At 55.3% G+C, this 19,609-nt stretch overlaps 1 long non-coding RNA gene and 1 pseudogene across 3 annotated transcripts, besides 1 other annotated feature; one reads left to right on the forward strand and one right to left on the reverse strand.

Annotated features, from left to right (window-relative positions):
• Positions 5,627-6,126: an enhancer, noted in NCBI's record as "H3K4me1 hESC enhancer chr17:60340887-60341386 (GRCh37/hg19 assembly coordinates)". NCBI's record gives its function as "activates a minimal SCP1, AML or CMV promoter by ChIP-STARR-seq in primed H9 embryonic stem cells {active_cell/tissue: H9 hESC(primed)}" and the evidence as "EXISTENCE:reporter gene assay evidence [ECO:0000049][PMID:30033119]".
• Positions 6,803-17,756, reverse strand: TBC1D3P2 (TBC1 domain family member 3 pseudogene 2; annotated as a pseudogene). 2 transcript variants are annotated; one of them, NR_027486.2, is made up of 14 exons: positions 17,646-17,756; positions 16,145-16,217; positions 15,897-15,982; positions 14,572-14,611; positions 14,009-14,089; positions 13,458-13,565; positions 13,071-13,127; positions 11,718-11,766; positions 11,054-11,174; positions 10,246-10,340; positions 9,796-9,861; positions 9,234-9,332; positions 8,711-8,863; positions 6,803-7,729 (listed from the first exon to the last, which is right to left on the reverse strand). The product of NR_027486.2 is annotated as a TBC1 domain family member 3 pseudogene 2, transcript variant 1 (transcript). The 2 variants fall into 2 exon arrangements; NR_174974.1 differs by having other exon boundaries at positions 13,018-13,127.
• A 19-nt stretch (positions 17,757-17,775) lies between these two features.
• On the forward strand, positions 17,776-18,691 carry LOC105371853 (uncharacterized). Its single transcript, XR_934896.4, has 2 exons — positions 17,776-17,913; positions 18,361-18,691. It is a non-coding gene; the product is annotated as an uncharacterized LOC105371853 (long non-coding RNA).
• Positions 18,692-19,609: the final 918 nt, after the last annotated feature.

Here is a 19,609-nt window from a genome sequence, read left to right on the forward strand (position 1 = left end):
TCTATGCTTTCGCCAACACTTGTTATCTCTTGTCGTTTTTTTTATAAGAGCCGTCCTATCCTATGAGGCAATATCTCATTGTGGTTTTGATTTGCATTTCTCTGATGATTAGTGGTGTTGAACACCTTTTCATATGCTGGCTGGCCATTTGTATATCTTCCTTGGGGAAAAAAGTCCATTGGGGTCCTTTGCCTATTTTTAATTGGGTTATTCATGTATTTATTAATTTTTGCTATTGAGTTGTGTGAATTCCTTATATTTTTTCAAATAACCCCTTATCAAATATATGGGTTGCAAATATTTTCTTCCATTCCATAGGTTGCCTTTTCATTTTGTCATGGTTTCCTTTGCTGTGTAAAACCTTTTAAGATTGATGTAGTCCCATTTATTTATTTTCACTTTTGTTGCCTGTGCTTTGGTGTTATATCAAAAAAAAATTGCCAATTATGACCAATGTCGAGGAGATTTTTCCCTATGTTTACTTCCAGGATTTACATGGTTTCAGATATTACATTTAATATCTGAATTACATTTAATATCTGAATTACATTAATATCTGAATTAATATCTGATATTACATTTAAATCTTTAATCCATTTTGAGCTAATTTTCTGTATATGATGTAAAACAAGTGTGCAATTTCATTCTTTTTCATGCACTTTCCCCAACACCATTCATTGAAGAGAGTTTCCTTTCTACATTGTGCTTTTTTTTTTTTTTTTACAGTACAGTGAAAGCAAGTCTATTAAGAAAGTAAAGGAATAAAAGAATCTACATTGTATATCCTTGATGGCCTTGTCAAAGATCTGTTGACCATATATGCACGGGGTTATTTCTGGGTGAGCTTGGCATTTTTATCTACCTCATTCTACCGATGAGGAGGCCGAGTCTCAGAGAGTTCACAGACCTGCCTAAGGTCACTCAGCTAGAGGTGATACAACCAGGGTTTGAACTGAGATCTGCCAGGCTTCTGAGTTTATTCTTTTTCCCCCACACCAAGGATCCTCAATTCTGCCTTACTGACATCAGGATCCAGTCAATTCTTTGTGATGGGGGCTGTCCTGCACCTGGCAGGATGTTTAGCACCTTCTCTGGCCTCCACCCACTGGATGCCAGGGGAATGCAGAAGAGGCTTGTTCATTCTCCCATTTAATCCTCAGGACAATATCTGACATAAATGTTATGTCTTTTATTTTATAAATGAAGAAAATGAGACTCAGAAAGGTTTAAGTGAGTTACTTAAGAACACACAGACAGCAAGAGGTAGAACTGGAAACTGAACACAGGTGTCCACATGGGACAACAAAAAAGTTCACGTTCCATCTTCTTTTGAGTCTCTCATTTCAATAATTACCATTGTCTGGATATGAGCTGAAGTACAGGAAACCTGGGGCTGAACTCTCCTCCCATCAGGCCTAGGAGCCCCAGACCAGAACGCCAGCCCAAGGTCTCCCAGTCAGGCCCGCTGGCGTGAGCTGGCATCTACACTAGCATGGTTTCCCAAAGCTGCAGGGATGCCAGTCTCGCCGCTGATGAAGAAAATGAAGGGCATTTGCTTCTCCTGCAGGCTCTCGGGATTTAACACAGATTCACAGATTCCTCTTCTTGCTGTCTTCTCCCATAGCACAAAACAGGGTGGTCCATCCCAGGCTCCCAGTGTCCCAAGGCTTTGTTGCGTGTTCTCTTTAATTTCTCCCACTCTTGCGGTGTACCCTACCCTCATCTCCCTGGCAACCTTTCTGCTGTATCCTCTCGACACCTGGATCACAAGAACACTTGTGAGACCCCTTAACAAGCTACATCCCAAATTATCATTCCCCTTTGTCCTCAGTCAGTGCTCAGGTCCAACTTGCTCTCCTGGGGTGACTTTCTTTCCTGCCCAATATGGTTTCATCACCTGTAAATTGGGGATAATTAAAGTCTTGATCCTGATATTTGACTCTCAAAGCAGAAGTAGCAAGCTCAGCCAAGTCACTTCAACAAGAGGAGACGTTCCTTGTGAACCAAAAGGGCACTGGTCACAAGGGCCGCTCCTTCTTCTCTCAGGCCTCTCCAGCACGCCCTTGGCTCAGCCAAAGAAGAGACTCAGGCTGTGCTTCTGCACTGTTGGGATAACATAGGCCTCTTCCATGTGGTTCCACACCAGGAACATGGGGACAATCAGACCTCTCCCAGTGTGGGCATAAGGATACAAGATCATGTCAATATTGACATTCATAATGGCCGGGCGCAGTGGCACACGCCTGTAATCCCAGCACTTTGGGAGGCTGAGGTGGGCAGATTGCTTGAACCCCAGAGTTCGAAACCAGCCTGGGCGACTTGGCAAGACCAGTCTCTACAGAAAATACAAAAAATTGTCTGGGCTTGGTGGCGCACACCTGTAGTCTCAGCTACTTGGGAGGCTGAGGTGGGAGGATTGCTCAAACCCAGGGAGGTTGAGGCTTCAGTGAGCTATGATGGCACTGCTGTACTCCAACCTGGGCAACAGAGTGAGGCCCTGTCTCAAAACAAAAACAAAGACAAAACAACATTCATAATAGTAGCAATAGCTACTATGTGCCAAGCCCAGGCACCTCTTCGAGTCTTTGCTGTCACCCTATCAGGTAAGCGTGCTTAGAAGTTACACGAAGCACACGGCTCAGTGTTTGGCCCATGGTAAGGGCCTAAAAAGTGATAGCCCCAGTGATGGGGATGCTGCTGCTGCTGACCGTTAACCCCAGTCTGCTCCACCTTCTTCCAGGCAGTCTGTGAGATGTTTGATGTCCGAGGCAAACAGCACATTCAGATCCCCAAGCTCTACACCTCCAGTGTGACCAGGCACCTGCACCACTTCAGGCTCATGCAGGACTCACAGCCTTTGGACCTCAGCTAAAGGACTTGCTTCTCTTCAGCACACGGGGCTTGTTTGTGTTGGGGTCTGAGCCCTGAGCCATGGTCAAGGAGACCCCCAGGTCTTTCTGAACAGAGACAGCTGGCCTGGGGGCCTCCCTCTCACTGCATGCAAGAGGCTGTTAGGGTGCAAGACTCAAGGCACTGAGGGAGGCTGTTTCAGGAGGGAGCCCCAGGAGGGTGGTGGAGACAGAAGGGGGCAGCATCTGCCGAGGGCCTACTGTGTGCCTGGCACCGTGTGGGGTTTCTGGCCCATATGGGCTAAGTGACCCTGCACACTCCTCTTAGGAGAAAGGCTCAGATGGAGAAATTGCAGTTCAGGAAGGTAAAGCAAGCTGCTAGCCTGTGGCCATGTTGGGATCTGGGCCTCAGCCTTCCAGCCACGAAGGCAGCCAAGTGTCATGAAGAAGGCATCACAGAGGCAATTCCAGGCTGTAGTGGTGAACTTTCCACTCTGCATCCCCGGGTGCTGTGCCCTGTGCCCTGTCTAAGGTAGCCCTGCGGGTTTCTATATGTTTAAGTTATCCCCAGCATCAATGATGCTCTCCTGTGGATCCCAAGCCATGGAGATGTCCTGGGACTTTTCATTTTTAGGTACCTAAATTGAATTTCCCAACACATAGAAGCAAGACAGCTGCCCTAACAGACTCTTGCATGCAGTGAGAGGGAGGCCGCCAGGCCAGCTGTCTCTGTTCAGAAAGACCTGGGGGTCTCCTTGACCATGCGCTCAGGGCTCAGACCCTAACACAAACAAGCCCCGTGTGCTGAAGAGAAGCAGGTCCCTTAGCTGAGGTCCAAAGGCTGTGGGTCCTGCATGAGCCTGAAGTGGTGCACGTCCCTGGTCACATTGGAGGTGGAGAGCTTGGGGATCTGAATGTGCTGTTTGCCTTGGATCTTTATTTGTGATTCAGAAACAGTGGAATAAAAGGAAAGGAAAGAAAACCCGAATGGCCACCTCAGCAGGATGCTCCAAGGGTAGTGTCCAGGTGGCACTGACTCAGACATGTGGGGGCTTCCCCCACCCATGCTCAAGAGCCACTTTGCCATTTCACCATCTCTCTGTCCTCCACACCCCTCAGCAGCAAGCACACCAAGAATGTGTTCACCATGAAGCTCAAATCTCAGCAGAATCTAGAGTCTGAAATCCAAGTAAGGGAAAGTGTAGAGCTTCTCGGATGATGCCCTGTCAATTTTATTTTAACGAATGAAAGACCAGAAGAAGTCAGTCTTTGAAAGGAGAGGACAGGAGCATCTGCTGGCATTAGCAGCCATGCCATCGTAGGACCAGCTCACCTGGACCCGCGGCCACCTGTGCTTTTACATCTAGTCTTGGTTAACCATGGGCCACTTTTCCAGCTTGGAAACTAAGCATATGCTCCACTTCCTCTCCTTCCTCATTGAACTCTTTCACTAAAAGAACAGTGCAAGAGAGACTTAAACTGTTTGCCTCATTCTTAAGAACTTTCAGGAAAAGTGTTGGCAGGGAAGGAAATTTCCCAGCTCTGGGAAACAGTCTTGTGGATTATCTGCTGGTTTAATTGATCTGCGCTGTCCTCCCTGCATTCATTAGGAAAACTGGCCTTGGTTCAAATAAGAACAGGATTTGTCCTGGTGACAGAGAAAGGTTTCTTCTGATGTCCATATATCTCCGAGGGAGATGCTTTCTCCAGGCAGAGGCTGTGGCCAAGCGATCAGGGGGCTCAGAGGGCTGCTGGGAAGGGGTGGGCCCCTCTCTCCCCAGAGGGAAACTCCTGGGGAACTCTCGAGCACCCCTGCCCATCCTTTAAACATAAATTCATAAATACAAACAAGTAGGCCATTCACAGAAATATATAAAATATGTCATAGGATGGGTGGCACTCTCATATGGCAATAATTATGACAGGGGCCGGCAAATGACCTGAGTGACCCGGACTGACCTGAGCACTGACTCCCAAATGCCCTCCATAGGATGTTCTGCATCCCCGAGACCCTTTCCTGGGTGCTCCTGGGCCCTACCACCCCCTAGACCATCCAGACCTCAGGTCATCCCCCTGTCTGTTGACAGAGTAGTCTCCGTTCCTGAACGTGCTGGTCACCAGCAACAGCAGCTGCTCCTCCTCCAGGCAGCTCAGCCTATACTTCTACATGCAGAGAACCTGGACGGCACCCAGGTGGACCTAAGCCTTCAGCTCCCAGTAGACACTCTGGGCTTCCTACCCTGCCCAGACACTCTGGGCTTCCCCCCACACCTCCCCTCGGCCGGGGCTCCTGTGCGCATCTGTCTCTCCCAGTGCCCAGCACAGGCGTGGAATGGAAGGGGTGAATGGACCGATGTGAACACATCATCCTGGATTCTCCTTCCCCGCTCAAGCCCTGCAGCTAACCCATCGGCAAGCCCTGGGGGCTCTGCCTCCAAAATCCTGCCTATCCCATGTCCAAACGCCTCTCACCATGTCCACTGCTCTTTGCAGTTCTGTGTGTGTGGAAATATTTCCCCAAAATTGGAATGAGCAGGTCACAGCTGTGCCTGGAGGGAACGGCCAGGGAAATGTGCCCTCGCCTTGCTGTTCTATCCAGGCCCACCCAGCTGAGGATGGGGGACCTGCCACCACTCTCCTGGCAGTTCCGGACTCCTGGGAACCGGCAGGTGAGGACCCAAGAGTGTTTTCAGTGACCCGGCTGACCTGGTCATCCGTCAGTCCCACCTTGGCCTAGGCCTCTGTGCAGCACAGATCACAGCTCATTCCATCCTGGCATTACACTGGCCTGTGCCCTGTCCTCAGGGTCACATCCGTCTCCCAGAAGCCGTGCAACCCTGGAAAACCCAGGTCTAACAGTCAGGTTCCTCCTCTGTGCATTAACAATGGCGTTGACGTCTGCTTTGCGGGACGCTGGGAGGGGAGAGGGAGGTGTATGCTGGAGAGCTCCCCAGGGGCAAGGCCTGGTTCTGCGTCACTCACTGTCAGATCCTGAGAGCCTGGGGCTGGCCCAGCACGTGGCCACCGTTCCCTAAGAGTTGGATTTCATCCCTCAGTGCTGAAGGCAGGGGATAGAGCTTAGACAGACCCCCTGCGTCCTGTCTTCTTTATCTACAGCTTACTCATCCTTGCCCCTTTCACGTGCACCCGGCAGAGCAGGTGTTCACTGAGCTTGAGCAAAATTCAAGCTAGAGCAGCTGATGGATCCTGAGGCCTAGATTCACTGTCAAAGTGTTTCTCAACGGTGCTCTCCAGAACACCAAGGAAAACTCATTGACTGTATAAGTCTGAAAATCCCTGCCCACCGGTCTACCTTTGTGTATGAGCAATCAGCTCTACCATTCAGCCCAGGTGTGTGTTTGCTGGACCATGTGGAGGAAGCTGAAGAGACATGAGCAGAAGGCAGAGGGTGAGTCCAAGGTGGGATCTTGGGACAGGTACGAGAAGTTAGGCAAAAATGGGATAATTCTAGCCTTCATAACCTTAGATAATAGTTCACATTATTATTTAGTTAATAGAATTGTACCCACATTAAATTTCTTAAATTTTTTTAAGAGATAAAGTCTCACTCTGTCACCCAGGCTGGAGTGCAGTGGTGCAATCATGGCTCACTGCTTCCTGGAACTCGTGGGCTCCAGCAATCCTCCTGCCTCAGCCTCCTGACTAGGTGGGACTATAGGCACGCGCCACCATGCCTGGCTAATTTCTTTGACTTTTCTCTAGAGACCGGGTCCACCTAGGTTTCCCAGGCTGGTCTCAGACTTCTAGACTCAAGTGAACCTGAACCTCCCGCCTTGACCTCTCAAATTGCTGGGATTACAGGTGTGAGCCACCACACCCGGCCTAAATTTCTTATGTGCCATGGGACTGCAAAACATCATTATTAGGGGCAGCTGGATGGAAGGTATAGGACACTATAGTGCCTTTTCAATATTTCTGTCTAAAATCTAAAATCATTTCAACAGGAAACATTTATTTCAAAACGTGAAGGTGGTTATCCTTCCATGAGTTTAAAGTACAAAGGCAGGCTCACGGTGTCGTCAGAATTCAGAACGATGGTCGTGGGGCTGGGGGTGTTGGGAGGGGCTGGGCATGGTTGGCTTTGTGATCTGGGGTCTGGTGTGCTCCATCTCTGAATGTCTCTCGAGCTGCACTCTTTCTTAATACATTCTCATAAGTTTAACAAAAAATAAAACGAGGAGGCGAAGCTTGCTTGGGTTGTTAAGCCTAGGGAAATTATCCAGCCATGAGCCCTGGCCCAGATGCTTCTAGAAGCCTGGAGGGAACTGAGAACTTTCCAAGTGGAGGCCGCAGAGGCAAGGTCCTGAGGTGGGAGCACACTGCTGTTCGTCCCTAGCTCTGAAGGGGGTGCCCTGGTCGGAATCAGTGCTGGGTGCACTGCAGGGCCGGGAAGTCCATGCCCACGTTGTGGCTCAGTGCAGTGAAAGCCGATCTCACCCGCTCCGCAGGGTGTTCAGCCTGCCAGCAGGTGGCCGGCTGGTCCTCCTGGGATATGGCACGGACCCAGCAGCTCTGTCTGAAATCATAACGGCGGAACCAAGGGTCCCCTACGTCCAGGTCCGTTGGGAGGCGGGGCATGGAGTTCCACTGCAGGAATCTCCAGGAACCCTGAGGTCCTCCCTGAGCCAGGGCCGGGCTGGGCACACCCTGAGTGCCCACAGGGTAGGTGTCTTCCCGGACAGCCCCACCAGGACAGGGTGTGGAAGAACGAGGTGCCCGTGGCGGGGAAGCTGACCAAATGGGCCATGGGAACCGGGCTGGTGGGCCTGGAGGGGCCTGCCTGTCCCCCTTGCAGAGGGTCTTCCCGCCCCGTGAAGCCGGCACAGGCCTGGATGCCGACGACCCTTGCTCGGGTTTGGCTGAAAGGAAAACAGACGCGGTCAGCATCTCCAGTGAGCCCACGCAGGCCTTTCCGGGCTGGGCCCCACCTGCCTGCGTCTCTGGAGTCCTCGGGGTCTCTGTGTGGCCCCCGTGGCCTGACACTGAGGACACGCCTGTAGTCTGCTGATCCCAGAGGGAGGAGTGCGTGCTGCCTGGCGTGGGGAAGCTGTCGTGGCATGGCGGGTGGCTCCTGGGACTGCCCCCAGGGTTCAGACTGGCTGGCGGCTTCCTGCCACACACCTTCGTCCCAGGGCTGTTGGGCCTGGGATACGGCCCCCAGTCAGAACTCAGGTGGGAGGGGCCTTGGATGTCACCCAGCCCCTTGCCACCTCAGGTGGGGACCCCTCTCCGCAGTGGGTGATTGGGCCCGGACGTGGGTCACCCTCTGCCCTCCTGGGCTGCCCAGTCCATGCCAGGACTGACCGTTCCCACTTCTGGCTGAACGCTTGGCTCTGGCCCTGGGCCCGGGGTCCCGCCTGCGCCCTCTCCCTGAAAGCTCCGTGGGTCAGGGACACCGATTCCCTTGTCTCCCTGGCTCCAGGCTCGTTGTCCTGGCAAGCTTGGAGGAGCGTGCAGGAGTGAGGGGCCTCTGCTGCTCTCTGAGGCTGTGGGTGCTTGCAGGGAGGGGCGGGGTCTCCCACAAATGGGTCTGGGCTCGGCTAGTAACTTGGAGGGCCCTGCGAGGGGGAGAGGGAGACACCGCAGAAAGTGGGAGGGGGCTTGTTGGAGGGTCTCGCCCACATCCCCCTCCTGCGTGCACAGCATGTCCAGTATACACGCACTGAGCGCCTGCCCTGAGGACCGGTGGGCCTCCTGTACTTTCTTAGAGTCCAGGAGGAAGAGGAGGAAGAAAAGGTGAAGAGGAAGGCCCAGGTAGTAGGGTTGCGGGTCCCGGGCACTCCCCTACTATTGACTACCCCAGAGGGTGACATGGGAGGGGACATGGCACTGGAGCCCACCTGGGGGTGGCAGGTCCCCCTGCTTTCTTGTTAGTTTCTTCATAGAGGCCCTAAGATGCTTGAGCACAGTGTCATCATCCCTGGCCCAGGCATCAACGAACCGGTTCCAAAAACGTGCCCACGGGCCACACCTGGACGTCTTCGTGAGGCGCTCTAGGGACAGGGTGGATATCAGGCCAGGGGAGTTACCTGGGAATGGTCACAGCTCATACCCCGTGGCCACTTCAGTCTCCCACTGGGCGGTGCCGGATCCTTTTGTGGCCACCCCAGGCGTCCAGATATACACAGGAGACTGTGGCTGGGGGGCGATCTGGACAGGGAAGTGCTCACCACACTCTCGACTTTCATCTGGGTCATGTGGGGGATGGGCTCAGTGTCACAGTGTCCTGCCCAGCCCACCTGGCCAGACCTCCCTCTGGGCCAGAACAGAGGATCATGAGGACAGTGTGAGGAAGCTGCCCTCGGGCCAGTCGGGGTCTGACCCCAGGGCTCCCCAGGCCCCGCTGGGCACACGTAGACTTACTCTGCTGAACCTTAAAGGCGATTTTGTTATCGGCATGAACGCCTGTTCGCCTTCTACCAGATACACGTCCCAGAGGCGCAGGGTGAGCCCGAGAGAGATCTGTGGGGACAGCAGGTGTGAAAGAACCTGGTCCTTCCAGGCTGGGGCTGGTGGCTCGAGCTGCGCACACTGGGGCTTCAGTCTCCAGAGTCAGTGACCTTCCCCATGAGGGTCGCCTGAGCCCTCCAGGACGCTGGGTCAGACAAGGTCTTGAAGCTCCTCATGGGGGGCACTCATTTGAGTGGGGATGTGGCTCCTGGAGAGAGGGGCTTGCCCAGGGCTTGAGGCTTCCCTGAGCCCTCTCAAGTCGGGTCCTGGCCCAGTCTGCCCATGAGGCTGGGCCTGAGCCCCAGCCATTGCCCTGGGATGACCCCTCTTGGGCAGAGGGTTTTGCTTGTGTGTCCTTTGGGGACCCGCCTGAGCCTCCTGTGGGCTGGGAGTGAGCCAGACCCCCGGGCTGGGGAAGCAGGGCACTGCAGGGCAAGGAGGGTCCCTGAGCCAGGGTCTCCCTATGCCTCCTTACCCCATCAATCAATATCCGGATGAGGCAGCCTAAGGACGAACACTGCCCACATAGATCTTTCTTGTCCTGATGGAAGCAACAGAGGTGCTCAGGCCACTGGGCTGCCCTAAAAACCTCCCTCTTCCAGGGCCTCTGAAGACCCTTCCCCTAATGCAGAACACTGGGCGGTGTCCAGAGCTCCCCACAACACTGTCACCTTCCCACACTCCCGGTGGACACGCTGCCCTTTGCGCTGCTCTGCGGGAGCTGGGCCCCCATCCCTGTGCCTCTGTCTCCTCCAGGGCAGGAAAGGAAACCAACTCCCAGCCCATGGAGAACCCGACGTCCCAGGTCAGGCCCTGGCTGGGACTCAGCCAGTCACCAGCCCCACGAGGGGCTCCAGCCCCCCTGCTCCTACAGCCCCACGGGAGGCAGGGCCTCTGGGAAGAGCTGAGGGGACCATAAACTCACCTAATGCCACATGGTCTTGGGTAGTGACGTGGCTACCACATGCTCCTGTTGGTCTTGGAGCCCCTGGACGGTCCCGCCATTTGGGCTGTGAAATCCTGAGAAGCCCCCAGCCCATCGTGAAATCAGAGCCTTCCCTCAAGATGTGGAGCCATCAGCTGCAAGAGCTGGGCAGCTGGAGAGGCCCCCAAACCCCAAGGCCTCCCACCCTCCCATCTGGTGACCCCAACATGCGGCCTTTACCCTGGGGAGGTGGGGCGGGAACATTCCCTGGAGCCTGGCTGGAGGTTCCCCTGGAGGCCTCCTGGGCCAGGGTGCAAAAAGGGCAAGCCTGACTTTCAGGCCACCACAGGGCAGCCGGAACTGGGTGGGTGCTGGGCTTCCTGGTCATCTCCTGGTAGTGGGGTCGGGCCAGGGAACAGGGGATGGGGAGATGCTGCCACCTGGGCTTGGTCGGCCCATTCGTGGGCACCGATGGCGGCAGGAGCCCGGGCAGCTGGAGGGCAGGAGGACTCTCAGGGAGGGGAGAGTCAGCTGCACAGAATCAGAGCCGGAGGGCGTGGCTCCAGGACACAGAGGGTGGCCACGGGGAGGATGAGATGCCCTCTGCTGATGGGGATGAGAGGCGTCTGATTTGGGCTTTGGGGGTCAGCCGTGGACTCCTGTGGGACCCTCAGCAGAGACATCCTAAAGTCTCCCAACAAGCTGGCGACACAAGGAGGGTGCCTTGGCTAAAAGCTGTGATCACCTGGCCAGGGTGGCCATCCCCAGGTCTGGCTGCAGGAGGTCCCCGGGGCAGCTGTTCACTTACCCTGCAGGGAGTGCCTCTCACTGGCCAGCAGCTGCACCAGTGCCCAGAATGCATCCTCCTCAGGAAGATAAAGGAGGAACAAGGCGGCGATGTGGCTCAGGTCCCTGCAGTAGCCCACCTCCTGCAAGAGCCAGAGTCACCATGGAAGGACATCAGCTGGGAGGGCTGAGGTCACCTGGGAGGACTCATGTCATTGGAGAGGGCAGAGGTGACTGGAGAGGCTTCCTCTGAAGGAGAGGCTTCCTCTGAAAAAGAGGCTTCCTCAGGATGCACATTCATTTCATGACAAGAGCCAAGTCCATCAGGCACTTCAGCACCTTGTCCAAAATGTCTGCTGATAGCACCATCCTGTGTGCGATGCTGCCAAGCTCCTGGGCTTTGGGGCAGCCCCAGGAGGAGGGCGTCATTTCTTGTTCTGAGAAGTGGTGGTCAGGCCCAGGTGACACCAGGAGTCCAGGCCCTGACTCCTTTGTGTATCAGCTTGACCCCTTGAGACCACCCCCTTCCTTGGAGGTTTATGCCAGCGGTGAGCTCACATCCTACCTCCTATATCCTGGTGGGTCACAAATACTAATTTTAAAAGAAGCAACGACACCCCCACCAGACACCCACTCCTGTGAATATGGAAATATGGCCCGGGAACCTCACTGCCGGGAATACTCACCGGGTTATACTCCTCATACGCCAGGAGGATGTAAAGTAGTTCCCGCTGCCTAGGAAACAGAGAAAGGGGGCTTTGGTTTGTTTTGTGCAGATGTTGTTAATTTCACTTTGTCTACAAAGCCTAACAGCAAATCCCATTTCAGGTTCAGATGATTCACCAGATAAGCAGTGAGCTCTTCAGGGCCTGAGACTCTTGAAGAAATGTTTCAGTAAAATCCACATCTGTGACATGCAAATAGCCCAGTTGTACAGTGACTTGCCTGATCCTTTTCACTCTGAATGATTTTTTTTTTTTTTCAGTTTGCACACACACCAATTCGGTCTGTGGGTGTACAGTTCCTCCACGGTTCCAAACCAATGTGCAGAGTCTCCCGGCCACCGCTCCAGCCCCTCCTGGGGCGACTCCTTCATCCTCCAAGTCTCCAGGGTGGCCCCTATGCACCCAGCCTCTCCCCGATCCGTCAGCCCCTGGCCACCCAGACTGCTTCCCAGTCCCTGTGGTTTGGCCTTTTCCAGAATGGCCTAGGAATGGGAATCCTACTGTGGTAGCTTATTGGGTCTGGCTTCTGTCCCTCAGCAAAATGCATCTAGGATCCACCCACGTTCGTGCGGGCATCACTGGCTCGTTCCCTTTTCTCACTGGGTCTTCCGTTTGAAGGGAGGACCAGCCTTGCTCTACCCATTCCCGTGTTGAAGGCCGTCCCCGAAGGCTCCGTGTGTGAGTGACGAGGAGTCAAGCAGTGAACCTGGCATGCAGGTTTCATGTGGATGTCAGTTTCCAAATCAGTGGGTTCAATCTCTGTGACACTTTGGGGATGCGTGGTTCAAGTCCATCGAGCTTTGTGAGCCACTGCCCAACTGGCTGCCAACGTGGCTGTGCCATGTCATGTTCCCAGCAGACCTGGATGAGAGTTTCCAGGACCCCTAATTCTCCCAGCATTTGGTGCTGTCACTGTTGCCTGGGGGGGCTCATGGGCCCTCTATCCTGCCACTCTCCCGTGGCTCCTACCATGGGTCCCCATGGGTCAGGGAGAGCACCTTTCACCATTGTGCATGATTTTGTTTGCTGCCTTCCATCTCCTCAGGATCCTCCTGGGTTCTGGCCCCACATGTTCCAGTCTGGCCCAGGGTTTGGAACCAGGGAGGTGCTCGGTTCATGGTGCCGGCTGCTCCCTGGGCCAGGAGAGCTCTTGGCAGCTGTGTCATCCCTCCTGGGTGACCCTGGCTTCTGTTCCGGGGAAGCCCCCATCCCTCTCATTCACCCCATCTCTGCTGGGACCCTGTGGCTCCCGTAGGCTTACTTGGTTCCGTATCGATCCCTGAAGAATATATGCCTCCTTAATGTCCCGCTTACGTCCAGGTCCATCTGCTGGATGTGTTCAGATGACCTCTTGCCCTTCTCCTTCATGATCTGTAGGGCAGGGCCAAGAGGAGGAAGCAGTCTCAGAACAGATGGAAGACTCCCTGCCCCCAGTGGCAGTCAGCCCACAGTCAGCACTTCGGGAAGGAAGGACAGAAGGAAGGTTTCCTTCTGCAGAAAGCTGCATTTTGGCTTGTTACTGAAGCCAGGGAGGGTCACCAGAGCTGAGTTTGTCTGTGGTGACTGTGTCACCATCTGTGCCCAGGGTGTTCAACTGACCTTCACCCCCAGCTCCCCAGGGTGGTCTTGACGTTCCCTCCAGCTGGAGACCTGGGCCCCTGACACGGCCTGTCCTGTTGGTTGTGCTCTGGCTGAGTGTACCTGGTATCTTCCGGGGTTTTTCAACTTGATTTCCTCAATGTTCAGGAGGACTGACCACATCGGGCCCCGGATGTTCATGGGAATTCCCTGGTACGCTCGATCTATGAGCTGTGGGCAGAAAACAATCTGGTGTCGCAGGCCACGGGGTGACCCCAGTGAGGACCAGAGCCCGGGGATTCTGGAAATTGTTGGTTTTGGCCCCGTGATTCCTCAGTAGAGGTGAGATCAAGCTGGGACAGGGTCTCCCTTCCCAGGACTGAAAGAGTGGATGGACACTCAGAGTCGAAACTCTGATCTGAACCTTTTCCTTCCTTCAGGTCACCAGGGCATCCCTAGCCTTGAGCTCCGGGTAGTCCCAGCCCTAGATTCAGATTCCCTCCCAGCAAGGTGACGCTTGCACGAGTAGGCAGGAAATCTGGCGACCAGGCCTGCAGTCCTCTGGGCGAGGACAGCGTGCCACCCACCCTCTGAGAGGCTGACGGCGCCAGGCCACAGCCATGGGTGCCTGTCCCCTGTCTCTGCAGAGAGTGCTTCCTCCCTCCACACATTACCTTTCTGCTGTTTTTGTAGGTGTCCCATTCTCCCAGCATTTTCACCCACTTGCTCTTTCGGCTGATCTCCCGCCGAATTTGCTGTCAAATGAGGCATGTTGGAGTTAGCAGAGCTGCCAGGCTTCCCAGAGCCGCCCGCGGATGCTGGGTCTTGGGCTCTGGAGCCCTGGTGGGAGCCAGCTGGAAGGAGCCAGGGAAGGGCAGACCTCAAGGGCTGAGAGCCTTTGAGCAAATGAGCACCAGTGGGCTGGCTTTGGGACCCCGGGATGTACCATCCTCAGGCCACAGCCACACCAGTCTTAGGTCCCAGCCTCTAGGTGGGGTCCTGACACAAGCGCGCAGCCACCCCCAAGCCAGGACTGTGGTTCTCCTTTTGGAATTTTATCAAACTGCCAAAGTTAACAGCAACCTGGGGTCAGGTCCAGCAGGGACTGCTGCCCCTCCCAGTGACAGCGCGTTGCCCTCTCCCGCCACCGCTCAGGCCAGCTGCTTCCTCTGCCTCACTGACCACCCGCCCAGTCCCTACGTCCCTGGACCAGCCCCTCCATGCATCAGGCTCTTACCTTCACCTCCCGCGCAGTCAGAGGAGGCAGCTCCGTCTCACTGTAAGGCAACCCAGGCAGAGCTGAGGAACTGCACGGGGCCTGGAGCGGCCCCAGCCTGGGTGCCGACCCCCAGAAAGGACTGGCTCTGTCCCTTTCCAGCTCAGGGCTCAGCCCAGGAGAAGGCACAGGGAAGGGAGGACAAGGGCCTTCCTGTGGGGCTGACTCCCAGGAGGGGCAGGACCTGGGCGAAGAAGGAGTGTAGGGACAGCCTGGCCGGGGTTACTGGGGCCCCTGGCGTGGGGGGCGGTCAGGCTGCCCAGTGGGGCTGCCCGTCCTGGACTCGAGGTGGTGCTTTCTGCTGGAGCTGAGAAAGGTTAGCCCTGAGATGGGATGGGGGCCGCCCAGGGTGGGTGACCGGGCCCTGACAGGAGTCCCTCAGGGAGTGACCACATCACCCCGCCAGGGTCAAGGGAGCCTGCCCTGAGACCTGCCCCGTGTACTCTGGGTGCACCAGGGGCCCATCCCACTTGACAGCCCCAAGGCCCTTGCAGGTTCTGACCTCCCAGCATCCACCTGCCTCTCCCTGCTCCCGAGCCACACACCCTGCGTTTCAGAAGTGGCACGGCTCATCAGCTCCCTCCCACCCTACCTCCCCCGGGATCCTCTGTCTCTCCATCCTGTGATCCCTGAGGGATGGGCTCCTGGCTGGGCTCCTCTTACCAGGCCCCAGATCCCTTCCCAGCACCAGACCCAGGTCTTTAGCCGCGAGCCCTGCTGCCTCCCCGGCCTCACCGTGAGATGCCCAGAGCGGGGCCCTGCCCATCTTCCCCCCGTTCTCCTAGGGCTACAGCCCCCATTGTCACCATGCCTTTTCCCCTCACGGGACAGTGAGGGCTGTAGCTCTAGGGGCATGGGGGAGAACAGGGGCAGGTGGGCCCTCAGAGACCTGCTGGACAACAGCCCTGAGGCTGGGCCAGGCGTCCCCTCACCCTGTGGCCATAACCCTTGGATCTCACCGGGGTTGTCTCCAAGTAGACAGGGCCAGACCCTCAGGCTGCCCCGCTCCTCTTGTGCTCACTTGCCGACAGAACTGCTGAGCGCCCAGGGGCCTGACCTAGCCCAGTCTCCATTCCCACCGGCTCCCTAGATGGGCCCCACACCTCTGGCCTAACAACAACCTCGGGCTGGACCTGCAGGGGAGTCAGGGAGGAGTTCTGTCCCTGGAAAGGAGGTTGACCCGACCTGGTGAGACATGTCCTGCATCAGAAAGGCCTTTCTAAAAGCAAACCCATCCCTGAGCTGAGACAGGTGCTTTAGGGGTGAGGGGAGTGCAGAGGACTCACTGCTGCATCCCAAAGTGATCGATGTTGTTGTTGTAGCTTCCAAAAGGCTTAGGCCCCTTGTCCTCTGGCAGCCCAGCTCGGTGTCCCTGTAGCCCAGAGGGAGCCTTGGTGAGGGGTCCAAGGTAAAGGGTGCAAGGGCCTGGGGGCATTGGTCACCCGTCCCTGCCCTGTGCTCCTAGCGAGCCCAGGACCCTTTGACCAGGGCACACTGGAAGAGGCCTCCCTCCAAGAAGCAGACCGACTTGTACCTTTTCGTATTTCATAATGATGTCCTCTCGCTCTTGTGCCCACCAACTACCCGCGACCTCTACCACGTCCATCCTATGAGACAAAATTGTCTAAAGGTTACACTGTACGCGGCGGCTTTGGAGAACACCTGAACCGCTCTCGCCGGGCTCCCAGATGCTGGCTGGCTGCGTAACCCCCATTCCACCGCCGCCCCCAGGGAAAAAGGGGCCAGACCCAGTGGCCCACAGCTGCTCGAGTCTCTGGAGTCTCAAGTCCCAAGCAGGGGTGGGCATCTTCCCAAGGACTTGAGTACAGTGGGACCTAGACAGAGAATCCTGTTGTCCCCCAGTGCCATGAAATGGGGACACACCGGCCCCAGCAGGTTGAATGGTTTCCACCTGCCAAGGGTGAAGGGCCCATGATGGGCTATTCCAGGGATGTGGAGGCAGACTGGGGTCAGCGACCAGAGGTCTCTGTACAATCGGCCTCCTGGGATGCTCAGGGCCTCAGAGATGCCCAGTTTCCTACAGGGAACAAGATCTCTCCTGACTGCTCGGTTCTACTCCGCTGATCACTTTGGCTACCGTGGCTCTTCAGTCTGAACAGTGAAGCCACTTTAGGAATAACGCCTGTTGAGCAGGAGGGTGTTCGGTTTGGGGGATGAGAAAGATCTATTGTACGCATGGAAACCATGTCTCTCGCGGAGGGACTGTGGAGTCCACCATTCTGAGCCGTCCCAACAGGAGGAGGCTTCATTTTCTTGGGTCACTGAGGAAGAACAGTGGGTCCTTGGTCCTGGAGAACACCTGGATGGACTGTCCCTCCTGGGAATACTCGAGGCAAAAGGAGGGCGAGGCCTCAAGAGGACCACACAGAGCAAGAAATGCCTGGGGAGAACCCTAGTGCCCGGACCCCTTTGAACAGAAGGGAAGATAGTCTCCCCTCAGCCAGCCCTCCAGGGCTCCTTCATTTTCCACGGCTGCCCAAGGGCAGCAGGCTCCCCCGGACAAGGGACCATGTGTGTTCAGTGGGGCCCACAGCGACCATCGGGACCCAGCTTAGGGCACAGAGGTGTTCTGAGGACCGTCAGTGGATCTATACCAGTGGATCTATACCAGTGGCTCTGCCAGGACCAGGCTCTGCCCCATCGGGATCGGAAACCTGGGCAGATTTGGGATCTAGGGCAGGGAGGTCACAGGGTTCAGGCCTGAATTCCAGCACAGCACACAGCAGGGCTGAGAGCAAAACTCAGGGTCATGTCCGGATTCCCAGGCCGGTTACTGCCTCTCTGACCCCAGATGTCTCATCTGTCGAATGGGGACATTTGGGAACAGCACCCACTCTACGAAGCCACCATGGAGACGAAAGAGCCAATCGTCTACACGGGCAGTGTAGAACGGGCGCCTGGTGAGTGCTCAGGGATGACCCTCCTCAGTAGCTGCCCCACAGAGGCCAACACCGCCCGCACCGTGGCCACTGTCCCCAGGTCCGCCTGGAGGGAAGAGAGCAGGTCACGCTCACCTGATTCTGATGAATCAGCTGGCCTGGGTCATGCCTCTCAGGGAGAAAACCTTTGAGTCCACAGAGCTGCTCACAGATACCACTGCCTGTGTGTAACTGCTGTAGAACACTGAGGCAGGCCAGAGAGCGGATAGGTGCTAAGCACCAGTGACATTCTGAGGTCATGGCACGCATCACAATGGGGCCTTGCCCGGGTCAGCAGTGCCCAGAGTCAGGGTCCTCCGCTGCCTGAGGCGTCAACATGCCTGCCTGCAATGTGTTTGTGCATGTGCGTGCACATGTGTATGTGGGTAAACACATCTGTGCACGTGTGTGTTGCTTCTCTGGCCAGGCCCGGCTGCCCCACTCATGTGTGCACCCAGTTCCTCATCACTGTCACCCCCGAGGCCCAGGGCCAGCATCAGAGCATCCATGGCTGCTCCCTAACCTCAGCCCTCCCTGCCCAGGGTGGTCCTGGGATACACATAGGGGTGGAGGGAAGTGACTGCTGCTGCTGGATCTCAGAATACAAAAGCTAATACTATTACCTAATGGTCTTTTTAGTGTCTCTAATGGTATCGCTTTTTCATTTCTGATATTTTAACTGGGTATTTCTCTCCATGACCCTTGGATATTCTAGCTAGAGGATCTTGTGAGGAAAGTGCCGGGCACACAGTAGGGGCTCACTCTTCTAGACATGTTATCTAAAACCTGGTTCATCTGTCCTTCCACGCAGGGCCTAGGGGATGCCAAATTCCAGGGTCCAGAAAGAGCTTGGGATAAAATGAAACTTCAAGGGGACGGCTTTGACCTGGGCTGAGTCTGCCTGTGCCGAGTCTGCCTGTGCCATCCAACTGGAGTCTCAAGTCCTGAGGCAGTACGTCCAGATGCCCCAGTGCAGGGTCCTCCTGATCAACACCTGCTCCCCTGTACTCATTAGCAACCTCACCCACCCTACTCTCAAAGCACACTTGGCTCTCATATCCAGGAGCTCTGCATCTGTGGATTCAGCAACAGCAGATGGAAAATATTCAGAAAATAAATTGGACGGTTATGTTTCTATTGAATTGCTCTTGTCATTATTCCCTAAAGAATACAGTATCACGACCATTTATGTAGCATCTGCATTGTATTACACATCCTGAATAATCTAGAGATGGTCTAATGTCTACAGGAGGATGTGCATAGCTGATATGTAAATACTAGGCCATGTTATGTCAGAGACTTGAGGATCCATGGATTTTGGCATCCCCGGGGACCCTAGAACTAATCCATGGATACCAAGGGATGACTGTAGAAACTCACTCAGGAAGGCTTCTCATTGGAGGAAGGGCCCAGTTCAGGACACACAGGGACATCTCCCTGGACTACTGTCCATTCATCCATCCATTCATCCATTGTCTCCCCCCACTCCCCCATCTCGGACTGTCCCAATGACAGCCCTAGCAAGAAGAGACAAGAAACAAGATAAGTTCACATTGTCCATTTTTGAGGTATTAGAAGAAGTTGCACCGGTATGAGAATAGTGGGTCAGTTTTCTACAGGATCCAGAAAGCATATCGGGCAGCCTCGGGGTGCGGAAAGGAGCCTGGCCTCTCCAGCAGCCACACAGGCCTGCAGTAGGATGGGGCTGGTGCTGGCCATGTGGATCACTTGGGCCTCATGAGGGGAAAGGAAATACCAGGGGGCAGAAGAGGAGCATGGGGGCAGCTGGTTGCCTAAGGGGAAGGCACCTCAGGGAAGGGGACTGTATTCATTTGTTTTCACACTGATGTAAAGAAATACCTGAGATTGGGTAATTTATAAAGGAAACAGGCTTAATTGACTTGCAGTTCTGGAAACTTACAATCATGGCAGAAGGGGAAGGGGAAGCAGGCACCTTCTTCACAAGACGGCAGGAGGGAGTGAGTGGAGAACCAGTAAGTGCCACACTTTGAAACTATCAGCTCTCCTGAGAACTACCTCACTATCCGGGGAGCAGCACG

The sequence above is a fragment of the Homo sapiens genome, chromosome 17 (assembly GCF_000001405.40).
Source record: "Homo sapiens chromosome 17, GRCh38.p14 Primary Assembly".
Taxonomy (NCBI): domain Eukaryota; kingdom Metazoa; phylum Chordata; class Mammalia; order Primates; family Hominidae; genus Homo; species Homo sapiens.